This window comes from Homo sapiens, chromosome 7, assembly GCF_000001405.40.
Source record: "Homo sapiens chromosome 7, GRCh38.p14 Primary Assembly".
Lineage (NCBI taxonomy): Eukaryota > Metazoa > Chordata > Mammalia > Primates > Hominidae > Homo > Homo sapiens.
This window is the reverse complement of record NC_000007.14, coordinates 134,151,155-134,169,707: the sequence shown is the minus strand read 5'-3', so window position 1 is coordinate 134,169,707 and position 18,553 is coordinate 134,151,155. Positions and strand designations below refer to the sequence as shown.

The following is an 18,553-nucleotide window of genomic DNA, read 5'->3' as shown; positions in this document are numbered from 1 at the left end:
ACAATTTGTTTCCTACCTGGGAACTAGATGCCCACTTCACAGTACCCACAAAAGTAAATCCCAATTGGATTAAAGACTAAATATGGAAAAACAAAACTTGAAATTATAAGAAAATATATAAGAATATTTAAAACCTTAGGGTATAGAGAAATTTCTTCAATAAAACATAAAAAGCAGAAATTACAAAAGATCATAGTGAAGAATAACTTTCAGACCTCATCCTCTATTCCCCAGACATACAGTTTCACTTGATATATAAGTTTTCTAGGGTTTCCATAACAAACTACCACAAACCTGGAGGTCTAAAACAACAGAAATTTCTTCCTTCCACAGTTCTGGAGACCAGCAGTCTGAAATCAAGGTGTCAGCAGTCCTGTGCTCTCTCAGAAGGTTCTGGAGGAGAACCCTTCCCTACCTTCTCCAGCTTCCAGTAACTCCAGACCTTGCTTGGCTTGCAGCAACATAACTCTAATCTCTGCCCCATCTTCACCTGGGTCTTCTCATGGCCTTCAGTGTGTGTGTGTGTGTGTGTGTGTGTGTGTGTGTGTGTGTGTGTGTGTGTGTGTGTGTGTGTCTTCTTCCCTTCAGCCTCTTATCAGGACATTGGGTTTAGGGCCACCTTACATCCAAGATGTTCTTCTCTTTAGATCCTGAACTTGATTACATCTGCAAACACCCCTTTCCACATGAGGGGACATTCAGTTTCCTGAGGGTAGGCTTTTTGGAGGGGAGGGGCACACAATTCCACCCACTATACTTAGTAAGGATTAGCTTCCAAGAGAAGTGGCTCCATGGCCAGGGCTTGCCTTCTGTCACAGAGAGCTGGCACAGCATGTCCCCACCCTGCTGTTGGAATGGGACACTCTGCCTCTAAGGTTTAGGACAAGATAAAGAACCATGAACCAGGGGTTCTCGATGACAGTAAGGAGGCTGGATGGCAGCACTGTCACCCAGTTACCTGAGTCACCTGAGCTGCAAACCCGGGAGTCATCCTCAGCCACATCTTCTTCCTCATCCACCACCTCCAATCTGCCCTAGTAATTCTTCCTCAGAAATAACTCTAGACCCCAGCCTTCCTTCCCTTCCTTACTACTGCTACCTGATTGAAGGCCCTTGTCCTCTCAGCTCAAGCCATTCCTGTGATCTCCATTCACCATCTCCCTTCTCTGCCCTGTAGGAAGACACTCAAGCCTCACTTCTTATACACAGTCATTCCAGAATCTCATCCCATGCAGCTCAAACATCAACCAAGCATTTGATAGAAGGGAGGCAAATCTGGGTATTCCTGAGAGCTCCTGAGGGTCCTGCATTCAGTCAACAAATATTCTTTGTTTTTTTATAAGAGATGGGGGTGTCGTGATGTTGCCCAGGCTATAGTGCAGTGGTGTGATAATAGCTTACTGCAGCCTCAAACTCCTAGACTCAGGCCATCCTCCTGCCTCAACCTCCCAAGTAGCTGGGACTACAGGCACACGTCACCATGCCCAGTTTTTTTTATTATTATTATTTTTGGAAGAGATGGGAGTCTTGCTATGTTGCCCAGGCTGGTCTCAAACTCCTGGCCTCAAGTGATCAGCCTACCTTGGCCTCCCAAAGCTCCAGGATTACAGATGTGAGTCACCATGCCTGGCCAAGAAAACAAATATTCTTCAATGACACCTCTGAGCCAGGCATTGCTCAAAAGTGAACAAGATAAAGTCCCAGAGCTCATGAAGTTAACATTCTAGTTGGAAAGCCAGTGAACTGTAACAGATGTGAAACTAGAATATGCAATATGACATAACCCCAGGTAACAGTAAGTACTAATGATAAATTAAACAGTGTAAAGGGATAAAGAAAACAGGGAGGGGGTGCTGGAGAGGCCAGACGGGGTCAGAGGCCTTTTTTCATGAGAGTTTGCCAGAGGCTTAAATGAAATGAAGTGAATTTATTTGAAGATGTGGGGAAAAGCTTCCAGCAGAGACACCAGCTGTCATGAAGCTCCAGAGGTGGAAATACGCTGGATCTGCATGAGGATCAGAAGAAAATGGCTGACTTCACATTCCCGCCCCTTCTGCAAGGGAGCACTGCACCCCACCAGCTGCCCCTAAGAGTGCTGGTCTCTATCCTCAGTCACATAAACTGGCCACTGACAGCCAGTCCTGCGTAGCTGGCCTAACCAAGTCAGACGGTGTGGAACCTGCGGTCTCCTGTTCAACGGCCGGCACTCTACTCAGTGAGCCAGTGCTAAAGCAGGCAAAGGGTAACTATCCCTGCTGACCCCATCACCATGGAGCCAGGGCACCAGGAAGCAGGCCAAGTCCATCACTGTGATACAGGCATTAAGAAAGGGGTCAGGGGCAAAGGGGAAAGTCACATTCACCTTGGTCTGAGAGTTCAAAAATTGTTTGTAAAAGTGATGAAGCAGCATCAAAACCTGGACTTAAAGTGTGCACCCATCAGCACTCTCTGCAGAGAGCCAAGACTATCCAGAGAGCAGTTGCTGAGCAGATCAGGGTATCCTGCCTTGGGCATCACCTTTGGGTGTAAGGAGGCCAAAGACCTCCAAGGGGTCCTCCCTCCTGTTTGCATCCCAGGGCAGGAGTATGTTGGCCAGGTGGAATGGAGATTGACTTTAGCAGGAGATCTGATCACGCGAGCATCAATGGCATGCCTCTGCATCAATGTTGTCAGCCCCTGGAGGCCCCAAGGACTCACCCAGTCCAACCCTTCTCATTACAGGCCTAATCTAACAAACTTAAATCCAGAGAGAAATTAAATTCACTTAGAAGCCTGATTGGGTTTAATGCCCCCAAAGTTCCTTTTGCTCACGTATGTGAAGAGAAGTGTGAGCCAGGGTTCAGTGAAGAGGGGGGTAATGCACATTGCTTGCCGGGGACATTAAATGGCATCTGTCTTTGAACAACAAGAAGCAAGGAGTCTTCGGCAAAGAATGTTCCTTCTATACAAAGCAGCACAAAAATTGAGTGGAATAATGGTCTTCAGCTGCCATTGTCTCCGTCAGCATTCAAGAGAATGATTTAGAAGGAAAGCCAGAGCACTGCAAAGAATGGAGAGATGGGGAGCTCTGGGAGGAGCACTGTTATTACTCAGGATTCAAGTTCTCTCCATGCTGCCATTGCTTTATGAGTATTACCTTGTGAATCCTCACAAAAATTCAGAAAAGTAATTGGGAACCAACAGTGTGACATAACGACACTGAGACTTAGAGAAGTAAGACAGCGTTTTTCGAAGTCACTCCCAGACTGATATCTTGCTTCTAGAAGAAAGGACTGAGGTTATAATAGAGCTAACAGCTTGGGATATGTTTTAAATGCTGGAAATGATATAAAATCTAACAAGACTACAGAGTAGAGGGTAACTAAGGTCCCCAAATTCCCAGCTGATGGTAAACATTCTCAAGTGGCCTTAAGAAGATGTTCAAATGATCACATGTGGGTGCTACAATGTTTCAATTGCTAAAACCAAGTACATAATACTGATGAAGTGCTACCAATAAAACAATATTCTTAACATCAGATTAATCATATGAGAAGCAGAAGCTAGGTTATGTTTCTGCTAAATGATAAATTTTCCACCGAGATACACAGTATTCTCGGTAGTCCTGTAGAGTTCTCTGAGGAACTTTCCTGAAGGCTCAAAGAATATTTGGGGAGCCTGCGGGTTGCTCCTCAACCTGCCCAGGGGGAGTCGGGGAATTAGGTGATTGTTACAGAGCTCATGGGTGCCAAAGGATCCCCCTTTGGGACACGTGGCCACTTTTTTTTCATGGAGCCTCTTTAACATTTGAAAATTATAAACTCCTTTCTTCACGTGATGATACTCCTCTTTTTTCTTTAAAGTTTGTCAAATACAATTTGAAAAGCCTCTTGAAATGGAAGAGAACAACATACTATTTATGAGGTATTTCTAGATCTGTGCTGTCCCATATGGTAATTACTAGCCACATGCAGCTGCCCAGACCTTAAAATATGGCCAGGATGAATTGAGACATACTTTAAGTGTAAAATACACACTGGATGTCAGAAACTTAGTATGAAACAACAGAAGGTTAAATATCTCATCAATAAGTTTGTATGTAGATTACATGTTGAAATGACAACATTTTGGATCTACTGGGTTAAGTAAAATGCATTATTAAAATTAATGTCACCTGTTTCTTTGCATCTTTTTACTGTGGCTACTGGAGAATTTTACATGACATCTGTGGCTCACGTGATGTTTCGCTGAGAAAGCACTGTATTGGGGCATTACAACAGGCCCTTTCAGAAGGGAGGCCCATTAGCATTTTATGCACTATATCACCCTGCAGAGGTTAAGAACATTGAAACCGGAGGCAAACCATTCTCTATGTGCAGGCTGGCTCTGCTATTTGCTGGATATATGACTTTGGGCAAGTTACTTAACCTCTTTCTGCCCCTGTTTCTTCATCTGTAAAATGACAATAATAATAGGGTTATAATAAGGATTACATGAGATAAAGTACTTAGGAAAGTGCCTGGTACATAAGTACTCAACAAATATCTCTAGATTATTTTATGACCTGAATTGTTATTATTATCATTATTGTTACTCCTTTTCCTAAATCCTGAGATGCATTGAGTTGAGATTTAATGAGAGCTTTCCACCCTTTCACCAGCCTCTGTATATATGTGAGAATCATTTTAAGTAAGAAATTTTCTGAAAATCAGTCTTCAATGGCAAATGCATGAACAGGACACTAAAACCACATGAGATGGAGATTGTGTGGACTTCCTAAGACACGTGGTACAGTGAACAAAGGTTGTCCACCAGAATTAACTGGAGAAGTTGCCAAAACAACTTAATATACAAGTCAAGGAGAATGAAGATGAACAGCTTTGTCTGTGATTGAAAACTCCTCTGTTCCCAGGACTAATAACTGACTTTTCTTGATTCTTAGCAACCTAACAGATGAGGGAAGTCTGTTGGAAAAAAGGCTCATCACACAAAACCGACAAGCACCACCACAGCAGAACACAGCAAGATCCCCACAACACCCCAGCTCACTTGAGCTGGCACCAACTGTCCCTTTCAGGCTCAGCCCAATTTTTCATTTTCAAGAAGAAATAAACATTGAACTTCCTTATGAAAGCATTCTCCCAAAAATGTGATAAAGTATTCGATATAAATAAAATAACGTTGTAGACCTTACAGCATAAGAAGTTTGCTAAAGTTACCAACTTAATATGCCATGATTAGGAACACAAATGCTTTATTAAAAATAAAATGTAATTAAGAGTGAAAGCCAGTTTCTGTGGTTTTTGAAGTAAAGTGTGCGTTATTAAGCCAGACCTGAAAATTTGAGTAAACCCAGTCCCCAAGCCACCATGCAGATTGGTATATAAGAACTCCCTTCCTGTGCCTCTTCTCTTTATTTTATTTTTGAGGGTTTAAGCCTTTCCTAGGGTATTTGCATTTTTAAAACTTTTTAATATTTTTAAACTGACAGATAAAATTATATGTACTTACTGTGTACAACATCATGACTTGAAATTCATCAAATCATCATGTTACATTGTAGGATGGCTAAATCTAGCTATTTAAGAAATGTGTTACATCACAAAGTAATCATTTTTGCGGTAAAAATGTTTAAAATCTACTCTCTCAGCATGGAAAAACACAATATATTTTTATTAACGATAATCGCCATGTTATACAATCTATCTCTGAAACAAACTCCTTATGTAACCAAAATGTTGTATCCTTTGACCAACATCTTCCCAACACTCCCCCCATCATGGCCCTAGACTTTTCTTTAAATGGCAGATATGGAGCAACACCAGCCAATGGCTATTCTTATATCTCCAACCTCCTTACTCTGATATTTCAGACATTCCTACTGCCATCTTTCTACACAAAATTTTGAATGAACATGTATACTTTAGAAAATCATCCACACGTGGTTGCAGTTTAAACCTTAAAAACAATGTAATTAGGAATCATCACATTTTCAATAATTAAGATTGTAAGTATTTTTAAAAACAACCCTTCTGCAACTACTCCAGGAATTTTGCTAGAACAATATTTCTAAGCTGACATTTAATGTGTCCGCCCTTAAGAAACCAAAAATGAAGGGTGTGTGCTAAGTCTCTAATATGTCCTCTTATGTCAACACTGAAACCAAGACATGTGAAGTGCAACACTACCTTATTATCCTCCAGGTTGATCACTTCCAGGAGGTCATGATTCTCTAAGCCTTGGAGGCTGCTTATCTGATTGTGGGACAGATCCAGGTTCTGCAGGGCTTTCAGATCCTCCAAACCTGTGATCATCTCAATCTGGTTATTGCTCTAAAACAGAAAAAAATATATTTAATGTCTCAAAGACCTCTCAAGGAAAAGTTGTAATGGCAAGTTTTCATTTGGGATACTGACCCAAATCTCTCTAAAAAAAATCAAGAAGGCATTCTTGTCCTTCCCTCCATCCCATTTCCATCATTCACCTCTCTAAACACCTACACATACCCCAGAAAGAAGTTCCAGTTTTCCAGGTGGAAAATTCAGAATATAATATTTTCATTAAAGTTAAAGCAAGATGAGTATTCAAATCAGTAAGAAAGAAAAAGGCAGGTAATATAAGGTTTTAACATTGCACACCTGAAGTGTAATGACAGCATAACTCCAGATATATCACTAGAAACATAAATTTAATGTAACTCTTTCATCATCATCACAAGAAGCCACTTGACTATTATAATCCCCACATACATTTTGTTTTCAGAAACACCCTAAATGTAATCACTCATGTGGTGAGGGTGCTAGTAGTCTGTTATATTAGCATTCTCCAATGAGCCATGCCCCCAGTTATTCCTGCCCTTGGGCAGTTCTGTCCACTCTTTTTTTTTTTTTTTTTTTTTTTTTGAGAAGGAGTCTGGCTTTGTAGCCCAGGCTGGAGTGCAGTGGCACGACCTCGGCTCACTGCAACCTCCACCTCTGGGGTTCAAGTGATTCTCCTGCCTCAGCCTCCCAAGTACCTGGGACTACAGGCACGCACCACCATGCCTGGCTAATTTTTGTATTTTTAGTAGAGATGGGGTTTCATCATGTTGGCCAGGCTGGTCTTAAACTCCTAACCTCAAGTGATCAACCCACCTCGGCCTCCCAAAGTGCTGGGATCACTGGCGTGAGCCACTGCACCTGGCCGTGGTCCCCTCCTCTTAAACCTAGGCTGGACCTATGAATTAGCTTCACCAAAGAATATGGTAGAAGTGTGCCAGTTCCCAGCCTAAGACTTAAGAAGGCCTGACAGCTTCTGCTTTTGTGTCTCAGAAGTACTGAGCTACCACATAAGAACTGCAGCTACTGTGTTGGAGAGAACTTGTGGAGAGGTTATATGGAAAAGGAAATGTCACATGGGGAGACACCCTGACACTAAATAGAGAGAAAAACCTTGCCATCCCAGCCTCTCAACTGAGCCAAGCCCCCAACTAAGATGCCGGCTAAATGCAGCAAGCCCAGTGGAAGAACCTCCCAGCTGAGCCTGGCTCAGATTGCAGAATTGTTAGTTAATAGGATGGTTATTTCTCCAAGTCACTACAACTGGGGTGGCTTGTTATGCAACAGTAGATAACCAAACCAAGTTTTTCAATAATTCACACAAAAGCATCTTCCTCAATAATCAGAATAAAACGAAGATTTAAGACTGAAATGTTGTCTTCTTCCTCAATCTCCATATACCCATAACAACAAATAAGAATAACAATTATTCTTGGCCGGGCCTGTAATCCCAGCACTTTGGGAGGCTGCGGCAGGCGGATCACGAGGTCAGGAGATCGAGACCATCCTGGCTAACATGGTGAAACTCCGTCTCTACTAAAAAAATACAAAAAATTAGCCAGGCGTGGTGGCGGGTGCCTGTAGTCCCAGCTACTTGGGATGCTGAGGCAGGAGAATGGCGTGAATCCGGGAGGCGGAGCTTGTAGTGAGCCCAGATCGTGCCACTGCACTCCAGCCTGGGCAACAGAGCGAGACTCCGTCTCAAAAAAAAAAAAAAAAAAAAGAATAACAATAATTTTCTTCCCTCTATATTTTCCCTGGTACACGTTTTCTGGTACATTTCATAGCAAGAGCTCATTTTCTTCCTATTTTTAAAATAAAATTTCATTTCAATAATGAGCAAGATTTGTGTTCATTAATATAATTATATGGCTTTTAAAAACATGTTAATAGAATGCCGATAATCTACAAAGCTAAGTGATAGCACACAAGGGTTTATCATAGTATTCTTCTTATTTTTATATATGTTTGAAAAATATCATAATAAATAGAAAAAAATACCCATAATCCATTTGCCAAAGTAAAGTCAAATTTCCTTCTGTCCAGAGTTCAAAAAAGTTATATAAAGCATAATAGAAAAGGGAAAGAAAAAAAACTACACCAAACTTAATGTCATATCCATATTAATTTAACATACTGCAATAAGACCCCAATAGCCTATTCAAAATATCCCCACATATCAAATTTATATACAATATATTTCTTTCTAAAGAACTCTGAAATGCTTTAGATGTGGTAGATAGACTGTAATTCTTCTTAATACACTTCTTCCCACAGAATTTTGAAGTCCCTTAGGTGTGGTAGATAGACTGTAATGCTTCCGACAGTATCTCTAATGGCTTTCAAAGTGGTAGATGACATGAGAATAGTGAGGCATAGACAAGTTTAATTAGATAGCCTACTGTCATGTCATAAAAGAAACCACAACTGAAAAAAAATTTAGAATCACAGAATTTCTGAATTGAAAGCTATCTAGTTAAACTCTTCATCCAATGCTGAAAAACCAATGTATCTCTCCTAAAAGTGGACATCCAGCTTCTGAAACAAACAAGCTTCTTCCTGCTTGTTTCATAATGATTAGTTGGGAAAAGACTTTTAGAATAAAGCCACTTTCTTGAATAAATGAAATTAGAAACATTCTCAACCAACCAATTTTGGAAGAAAAAAACAAGCAGCATTTACTGTGACGAAATGAATTTTAAAGTTTGGAATGCATTGTCATTACTTGCTAAGAAGCTGGATGACAGAACAGCCCATTAGTGAACCACATTTTCCCCTTATATTTATCATAAAAGTTGACATTCGAGAATTAACAGTTGGTTCATATGGTGAATTGTTCTTCTTTCTCTAAATTGTAATGTAAATTATTTTCAATAGTAACTAAAGCTACTGGTTTCTTGATTCCATGAATTAAAAATAAAAGCATTAAAAACTATTGAAACAAATTTTATAGATTTTATTAAACTTTGGAAAAGAAAACCTTTCTATTATCAAAAAATTAAGAAAAATGAATGACAGTATATTCTGTGTATTCTAGTTGATCTTGGGTGATGAGGGCAGAGATTGGGAACAATCCACCAAATCTAAGAAAATAGAAGTATTCTATCCTTTTTCTAAAAGCTACTTGAGACAGAACTATCAACATGGATTATTTATTTTGTAATTGAAACACACTCTTAGGATGAAAATGCTACGTATTATAATTCTTAATAATGAGTTCATTCTCATTCCCTTAAGCACACCCCTATATCTTTGTCTGTTTACCATGCTCCACTTTAAATGAATGGGAACATCAATACAGAGAAGACATGTAAAGAAAAGAACAAGATTCTAACAGACCACAAAATGAAGCACACATGCTGCTAAAAATCCTTCAGATTGTCGTAAATTTTAAAAGTTGACTTTCTTTTCTAACTTAAACATTTTCAATCTAATTTATTGAATGCATTTTCATTTATGTTTTGCTCACATGCCTTCATGGGCGGAAAACATGAAAGATCAGGAAAATTATCAAACCCTCAGGTTCATCCTCAGTACTGGGATGCCAATACTTTATCCTGACCTAACTCACTGCAGGAATGGAAGAGGTTTGGTTGATGTTTTTTTGTTTGTTTTGTTTTTTTGAGACGGAGTCTTGCTCTGTCACCCAGACTGGAGTTCAGTGGCACGATCTCGGCTCACTGCAACCTCCGCCTCCTGAGTTTAAGCAATTCTCCTGCCTCAGCCTCCCGAGTAGCTGGGATGACAGGGGACCACCACCGCGCCTAGCTAATTTTTGTATTTTTAGTAGAGACGGAGTTTCACCATCTTGGCCAGGCTGGTCTTGAACTCCTGACCTCATGATCCACCCGCCTTAGCCTCCCAAAGTGCTGGGATTACAGGCGCAAGCCACCACGCCCAGCCTGGAAGAGTTTTAAGAAAGCACTTCGAGCTCTAAGCTAAGGGAAAGAAAAACTAACACATAGCCAATCTTCAGTGATCTATGGTTAAATAAGACAGAAATAGTATATTGTATATGTCAAAAATCAGCAGATAATCCAAGATGTCATTTCTTTCCTTTTTTTTTTTTTTTTTTGAGGCAGGGTCTTACTCTGTTGCCCAGGCTGCAGTGCAGTGACATGATCGTGACTCACTGCAGCCTTGACCTCCTGGGCTCAAGTGATTCTCCCACTTCAGCCCTCCTAAGTAGCTGGGACTACAGGCTTGTGCCACCATGCCCAGCAAATTTTTTATTTTTTGTAGAGACAGTGTCTGGCTATTTGCCCAGGCTGGTCTCGAACTCCTGGACTCAAGTGATCCTCCCACCTCAGCCTCCCAAAGTGCTGCGATTACAGGCATGAGTTGCAGTGCATGGCCCAAGATGTCATTTCAAGCAACAGTTTCAACAACCCCCTGTGGGATAGTTCTTGTAAGAAATTTACAAGCTACAAGCCTCATGGCTTGAAATCCCGCCTGCTGACCCCATGATAGATGTAATGAAGAACAGCAAAACCATCCAAGAGGGTAAGAAGTAGGAGAAAGGAGAAGAAAGAATCCTGGATATTTCACAGTCAATACTGTAGACCCCCAAGTTAGGGAGCTATCCTGTTATTTCAAAAATACTGTGTATATCTTTGGGACTATTAGAATCCTGCTGAATTTCTGTAAATTGAGTCATAGTCACACAGCAGGTCACACAGCTTCGAAAGAGTGCTCTCTGTGGGAAAAATAATCAAATTTAAACTTTCTGATTGGAATTGTTCATTTATTCTTAGCACTATTTTTGATTTTCTATAGTGGAAGACTGACTAACACATGTTAAAATAAAAGGACTGTCAAAATTCAGTGCCCAGAAAACATCTTGTGGTTCATTTGAAAGCAGTTAAAGTGTTAACAGCAATAAATATTATGCTTAAGTATCCTTAAATGTTATTTTCACCAATAAGATACTATAAAAAATATTTTTAAATACATACTAAAAGTATACCTTTCTTTCCCAGTATAAAAAAGCTGATCATTTAAAATACTGAATTTGGATAACAAATTAGCAAATCATTTTACTTTAGCATGAAATATTGCTTTCTTTCTCTCTCTCTCTCACAACCACACACACACACAAATGGTAAAGAAAGGAGCAAACAAAACTGAAGACAATAACATTTCATGAAGGAATTTTCTCTTTATATATTTGAATCCTAAGTAGTCATAATTCATGTAGTTACTAAAAGCATTAACTACTACTTCTATAAAGAACAGCATTTTGTTAGACTCACCAGACAAAGTATTTTGATTGGTAACTTGTTTAAGCCATTAATTGTCGTGATCTTATTGTTGGCCAAACTAAGGTGAATTAGGTTGTTGCACATCTCTAGTCCACTGATTTCTTCTATCTCATTGCCTATACACCATGACTACGTTTAAGGAAAATGTTATTAAAAGCATTTGGAAGAAAAAAAGAATCAGTGTTAAATCATCACTAGACAAAGCAGACCACAGCTTAAATAAAGAACGATTATATGCCCAATATAGGATGAGTATTAATCCTGAAATATATTTTTTCATACAGAACATGTCATATTTTATACAATTTTTATTTTAAAAAGGCATAGTGGCTGGGTGCGGTGGCTCACGCCTGTAATCTCAGCACTTTGGGAGGCCGAGGTGGGCACATCATGAGGTCAGGAGATCGAGACCATCCTGGCTAACACGGTGAAACCCCGTCTCTACTAAAAATACAAAAAAATTAGCCGGGCGTGGTGGTGGGTGCCTGTAGTCCCAGCTACTCGGGAGGCTGAGGCAGGATAACGGCGTGAACCCGGGAGGCGGAGCTTGCAATGAGCAGAGATCGCGCCACTGCACTCCAGCCTGGGCGACAGAGCAAGACTCCGTCTCAAAAAAACGCATAGCTTTTGAGTGTGCTGGATTGTATCTGACTCATTTAATCAGTACGGAAAGAAAAATCACCGTGGCTCATAGCTGCCTCATTGGCAGTGTGTTTTCCCTCGATCAGTTAAGTCTCCATGAGAAACTCATGTGTGTTCCCACAGGCAGAACTTCTGACTACCAGATCACCCTGCAGGGGCAACATGCACCATGCATTATCATCCTCATAACTGGGCTAAGAGCCTGGGAGATGTCATCTGCAGCAAATGGGTGGTCCAAAGACCAATACCCTGTTAGAGAAAGGAACAGCCCTTTCTTTCCGTCTACATTGACCTCCATTCAATCAATGAGGTCATAAAATCATTCAATCATAAAATCAATGAGGCTTAAACTCTGCCTTACTTTCTTCATCCGTTAAATTCCATTTATTGTGAAAATTTTAGCTTACCTTCTGTGTTCCATCTTGTAGTCACCTAACACTACAATTTCAAAGTCATAATTCTGTTCAGCTCTCTCTGTTCTCAATCTCTTTGACCAATTTCCAGGATTTAATGTCATTTCCCCATCAAAGCTCAGTTTTTCCTCTCAAGTAACCCATGACATCTCCATTTCTCAGCCACTCATAATCTGTGAGGCATCCAATCACCAAGACCTGCCATTTTTTTGCCTTAAAATATCTCTTTAATGATTTCTTTCCTTTTTATTCATTCCTCTGCCAACTTAACTCACCTTTAACATCAATAGTTACACAAATATCCATTACTTTCTGCCCTAAAGTCACTCTACACACTGTAGGCAGATTAATTTTTTTTAAATATTGATTGAATATCATGTTTCAATTAAAAAATTCTCATAGAATTCCAGATTCCTCACTCTGCCATCTAAGGCCCTTCACTATAAACAAAACTTATTTATCCAGTTTCATCCACATCATCATCCAATGAGAATTCCCTATTTCTGCCAGGTCAATTTCACAATAGTTCTGGAATGTACCAAGAACTTTCTTTTTCTTGCTCCTTTCTAAACCATACCCATTCTTCAAGATAACTCCAAATCCCACTTTTTTCTTATTTTTTTAACACTCACATTAAATCAATATCTTAAGTATTTCTTTTTGACATATAACACTTATTTTCTTACTATTACTTTTTAAATACACAAATAAGTGAAAATGATAGGCTAGGAGACCATATTCACAATATATACTAGCAGACAAAAGATTCTACCTAGAATACATTAAAAATGACAATAAATCAATAGAAAAAAAAACAACCTAATAAAAAACGGACAACGAATATGCCCAGGCAATTTCCGAAAGAGTGAATCTAAGTGGCTAATAAACACATGAAAAGACGTTCTGTCTCACCTGTAGTCAGGAGAATGCAAATTAAGATAAACTGCCATTCTTTACCCATCAGCTTGGCAAACACTTTAAAGTAAAAGGTTTTGAATAACAGATACTTTTATACTACTGAGAGAGTTCATTATGATATAGCCACTTTAGAGGCAATTTTGCAATGTCTATCATAACTGTAAATATGTCACAGCCATTCCATTTCTTAGTATGTATTCTAGACAAACCATTTCTTCCTCAAAGCCTCTCCTGGTCATCTTCTAATCTCCAGCTATCTCCTTCCGTTAATCAGAGAAACAAACAATTTTTTTAAGCAAGAAGGAAGAAGTCATAAATATCACAAAAACATTTTGCCTCCATAATTATTTGTAATTATCCCAACTTTACTACTTAGTAGATTTTTCATTTAAAGTGGGGATAATATCAGGTGGCCATTAAGGCCAAAAGTTAGGTCATGGGAAAAAAATTAGAAAATGGGTATGAATGAGCAACAAACCATAAATCACCTCACAATTATAAAGCATTGATACCATTACCAAATTATATTACATGAGGCCAAGGAAGCACGTCCTCTACCTCTTGGTCAATAGCACAGAAATGGAAAATTCAAGGCTGGGATTAAGCCTGAAAATACCTACGCCAGAGAAAGAGGTAAATAAGGAAACTAGACAAAAATGTAAAATGTACCAGAAATTCTTGGGTTTTCCTCAATGGTTTCAGTTTCAATCCTTAGACTGAAGTATAGCTCTGTTTGTGGTCAATATGCATTTTCAAATCTGTTTTCATAAAGCTTCCTGCCAGAATAGCCCTACAAACAGATGTTTATGCTCACTAATACTATCCTTTCTGGTTCTACTTTCTTTGGGCTGCTTAAATAATTGTTCTGGAACTAGAACAAAGACCAGATCTTTGTAGATACGGATTGTAACAAAATATGAATATGAAACATAAGAAATAGGAGATTAAACTATCTCACTCAGGTATGGATGAAATAAAATACCCTTGGAGCAGGCAATCTTTGGCAACAAAAACTATGCAAGGAAAACTTCGAATGGCCATCTGTCTCAGTTTAGCAGAGACAGAAATCATGTTTAAGTCCTATTTTAGGAGTACTAAAGTGTCCTGGTAGCTCTACCCCAACCAAGATGAAGATACTCTGAATCATGGCAGAATAAAACCACTGCTTGTGGGTATCTGCCTCAGGAAGTATTCTCATGGGAAGCAGGCAAGGATCAGAAAACTAGAAAACAGGAATCCTGAAATTATCAAGAGATATCAGGAATCAAAAAGGAAAGCTTGTTTATTGTGTCTACAGTAATTTTCTAAGACATTAGAGGCTAACCACAGTTCCCTTGGCACATCCATCTTACTCTCTAGCTTGGAATCCCACAGCTAGTCACGTGTTCTGAAATCAGCACTGCAAGGACAGAAAGGAGGAGGAATTCAGATGCTCACTGCAATCATACCTATGGTTTCTGCAGGTACCATTGCGGTTACTAACACCACTAGGGCAAAGGAGCAGGAGTTGCCTGAACATCTCTGTTGAGAAATATGCTCATTCCAGAAAAATTATTTCCTCCTGTTTCTCAGCTTTTCACTCTCCTTCAAATATCAAGGAATTTCAGACACTCTAAATTAATCAGGCTCCTGAGTAAAGAGAACTTTCTACAGTGATACAACAGCTTTTTCCTCTACTTGCTCCCACAGTCACCTCATGTGGGCCTGGTGGCACTGCCAACAGTCAATATGCAGGCCTGGGCCATAGAGAGCTTTGAGTTCATAGATGGTCTTCAATATCTTTATCTCCCCAATCTCTCATTCTCTTAAGGACCTTCACAAAATGTTACTTGCCCTTCCTCCTAACATTATTCGTGTTCTTTCACAGGTCTCGGGACTTCCTGATAAGAAGAAACATAATCTGATAAATCACTACACATTACAATGAATTAGCTTACTGGGTTAATCCTCTTACGTATATTTTAATTTTAAAAGACCAGTATCAGGAGAAAGAAACTCAAAAGAACTCAAAATCATCATACCGCATTCCAGCTCTAAACTTTTATGATTCTGTGAATAAATCTTTTAAAGTGAAATTGTAGATCCTTGGGGAAACTGAATGAAGGAACCCTGTGGCACTTAAGCATAACTTTACAACTGGGGTAAAGCCCAACAACATATTTTTACATTTTGACGATGCTGACAGTAGTTCACAATGCTTGACATGAATTATTCACTAGTTCAGTATTTGCTCTTATTCGTTTGTCTACAATCATAAAATATGGTTCAAGTGTATAGCAAACAGTTACTGAGAAATAGTAGGAAATCCACCACAGTTCTCTTAGTGGAGAGAGCTGCAATGATGGCTTTAATCAAAACCAATCCTGAAAGATCTGTATCACCTTACCAGTGAAAAATGCTCTTCACTATAGGAGAAAATCTCTCCAAGAAAAGAAACACGCATAGTTTAAATGCCTCTGTGACAAAAGTTGTAATTACTCAATGAATTGCAACATGGGAAAAACAGTGGAATTCAGAAGTCTCAGTTTAACCATTTACCAAATAATCTGGGGCAAGTTGTTGACCCTTCTGGAGTCTCAGGTTCCTCTTCCACAAAATAAAATAGTGATTAGCACTAGATGGTCTCTAAAATTCTGTCTGGAATTAAATTTCTATGAATTTTTCAATTCCATTATTCTATCATCATAAAATAAATTCTAAAAAACAACTAGTCAATGTTTACAGGTAAAGAATAAACTGTACTCTTTCTTAAGAATAAGTATATTTACATAAACTTGGCAAAGCTTATTGTATTGCAATTTAGGATAATTATCAATTAATCATCAATTATCCACATATGGAAAGACAAAATAGCATAACAAAATAAAAAAATTGGTATCTTATAGTTAACAATTCATTCTGAGATATTAGATATAATCTACTACAATTACACTGTCAGTATTACTAGCTCAACTGATTTTTTTAATTTTAAATAATTATTTTCAAAGAAATTAATTTATAATTTTCAGGTTTTTAAATTTTTACATAGAGCTGGGTTAAGTTTAATACTTGATTCACCATTGACCTATGCTTGACTGATTTTATTTATTTTTAAAAATATAATGAGCATGCTTGAAACTAGTGCCCCCACAGCCCAATCAGCAGAAAATTAACAACTTAAATCTACCCTGTGTCTCCTTCCCAGAGACAGTAACTATGCTCAGTTGTCTCTTTCTTCTTCCCTTCCTCCCTTAGTTTTATGCCTAAATTATATTTACATGCATGTAGATATATTCCATTCATTTTCTCTACTGTATGATATGCTATTGTGTGACTATACCATAACTTATGCTTTCTCTTATGAATGTGTGTTTGGGCTGTTTCAATTTTTTACTAGTACAAGCAATACTGCTATGAACATTCTTATACAAGGCTCCAGGTACACATATACTAAACTTTCCACATATAGGAATAAAAGTACTAGGTCATGGTGAACTTGGATGCTCAACTTTATATGACAATATAAAATTGTTTTCCACGGTGGTTGAACCAATTTCATACCCACAAACAAGGTAAAAAGATCTTCTGGATCTACAAGTTCTCCAACACTTGGTATGTTTAGATTTCTTAAATTTTGTCAATTGAATGGATGTAATACAATATCTCATGTGGTCTTAAGTTGCATTTCTTGGAATACAAATGAGGCTGGTATCTCTTCGTATGTTTATTTGCCTTCTCTGATTTATTTTCCATAAAATTCTTTTTCTCATCTTTTATTTTGCCCATCTTCTTATCCAGGGACATGGGATATATTTCTCTTTAGTTAGGTCTTCAACACCCTTAAATAGAGTTTTGTTAGTCCCCCTATCCCCACAAGTCTTATTCATCTTTAATAAAATTTGTTTTTGCTGTTTTTATAAATGGTGTTTCTTTTTAAAGTTGTTTTCTAATTGCTTGTTTCTGGCATACAGAAATGCAACAGATTTCCATTTATTGAAGTCGTATCTGGTCATGTTGAACTCTCAAAACTATTATTTATAGTACTTTATAGCAAATTTTTAATATTCTCTATAGATAAACATGTCATTTGCAAAGAATGACTTTTATGTTCTCCTTACTAACCTTTACACCTTTAATTTCTTTCTCTTGTTTTATGGTGTTGGCTAAGACCTCCAAAATAATGATGGGTTGAAGTGGCAATGGCAGACATCCTAACTTATTCCCAATTTTAAAGGAGAAAGCTTAGAACATGTACCCAATTAGGATAAAGTGTGTTTCAAATATTTTTGTAGACATCCTCTATGAATTTGTGGAAATTCCCTATTACTAGTTTACTGAGAGTTTTCATTGTGAATGAGAGCTGGATTTTATTAAATTGTCTATATCTGTTGAGTTTCTATATCTCTGGATCACAAGGTTTACTCCCTTTAATCTATTAATGTAGTTAATTATGTTTATAGATTTTCTAATATTAAACTCTCCATACATTCCTGAGAAAAACCCAATTTGGTGGTAATACATGGTCTTTTTAATACACTGTCAGATTCTGTTGCTAATATTTTGTTTAGGACTTTTACAGCTACATCATGAGTGAGACAAGCCTGTTGTTTTCCTTTATCTTAGTGCTCCTTGGCTGGCTTAGATATCAAAGTAACCTAATTAAAATGAATTGTGAATATGCCTTCTGTTTTGAGTGTTTGAAAGAATTTGTTCACTATTGGAAGGTCTGTTTTGAAAATTTGGGGTCTAGGCTTTTTTGGTAGAAAGATTTTTAATTTTTTAATTTAGCTTATTTTAATTTATAGTAAATTAATTTTATAGTTATAGGACTACTCAGGGTTTCTATTTCCAAACTGATGTGTAATATTTTTCTAGGAATTTTTGTATTTCATCCAAGTTTTCAACTGTACTGGCATAAAAGTTGTTTTAAAATTCTCTTTTTAATCAAACTGTTTTAATATTTTCAAAAACACTCTAACCTTGTGGCTTTTCTTCTCCTCAAGAGATTAATTTATAATCTAGATATATTTTTGCTTTCTGTTGT

At 38.2% G+C, this 18,553-nt stretch overlaps 1 protein-coding gene across 12 annotated transcripts in view; it reads right to left on the bottom strand.

The window, feature by feature from the left end:
- LRGUK (leucine rich repeats and guanylate kinase domain containing) overlaps positions 1 to 18,553 on the bottom strand; it is a 149,346-nt gene that overhangs the window by 106,978 nt on the left and 23,815 nt on the right. For 9 of the 12 annotated variants that reach the window (XR_002956408.2, NR_174939.1, XM_024446659.2 and 6 more), the window contains exons 6-7: positions 11,549 to 11,673; positions 6,168 to 6,311 (exon numbers count right to left, since the gene is read on the bottom strand). Coding sequence is in view for 10 of the 12 variants with exons in the window: in XM_024446659.2 (XP_024302427.1) it covers positions 6,168 to 6,311; positions 11,549 to 11,673 (269 nt within the window). In the remaining 2 variants the exon portion in view is untranslated. The remainder of the gene's footprint in view (positions 1 to 6,167; positions 6,312 to 11,548; positions 11,674 to 18,553) is intronic. The other 3 variants (XM_047419890.1, XM_024446658.2, XM_047419889.1) reach the window with 1 other exon arrangement.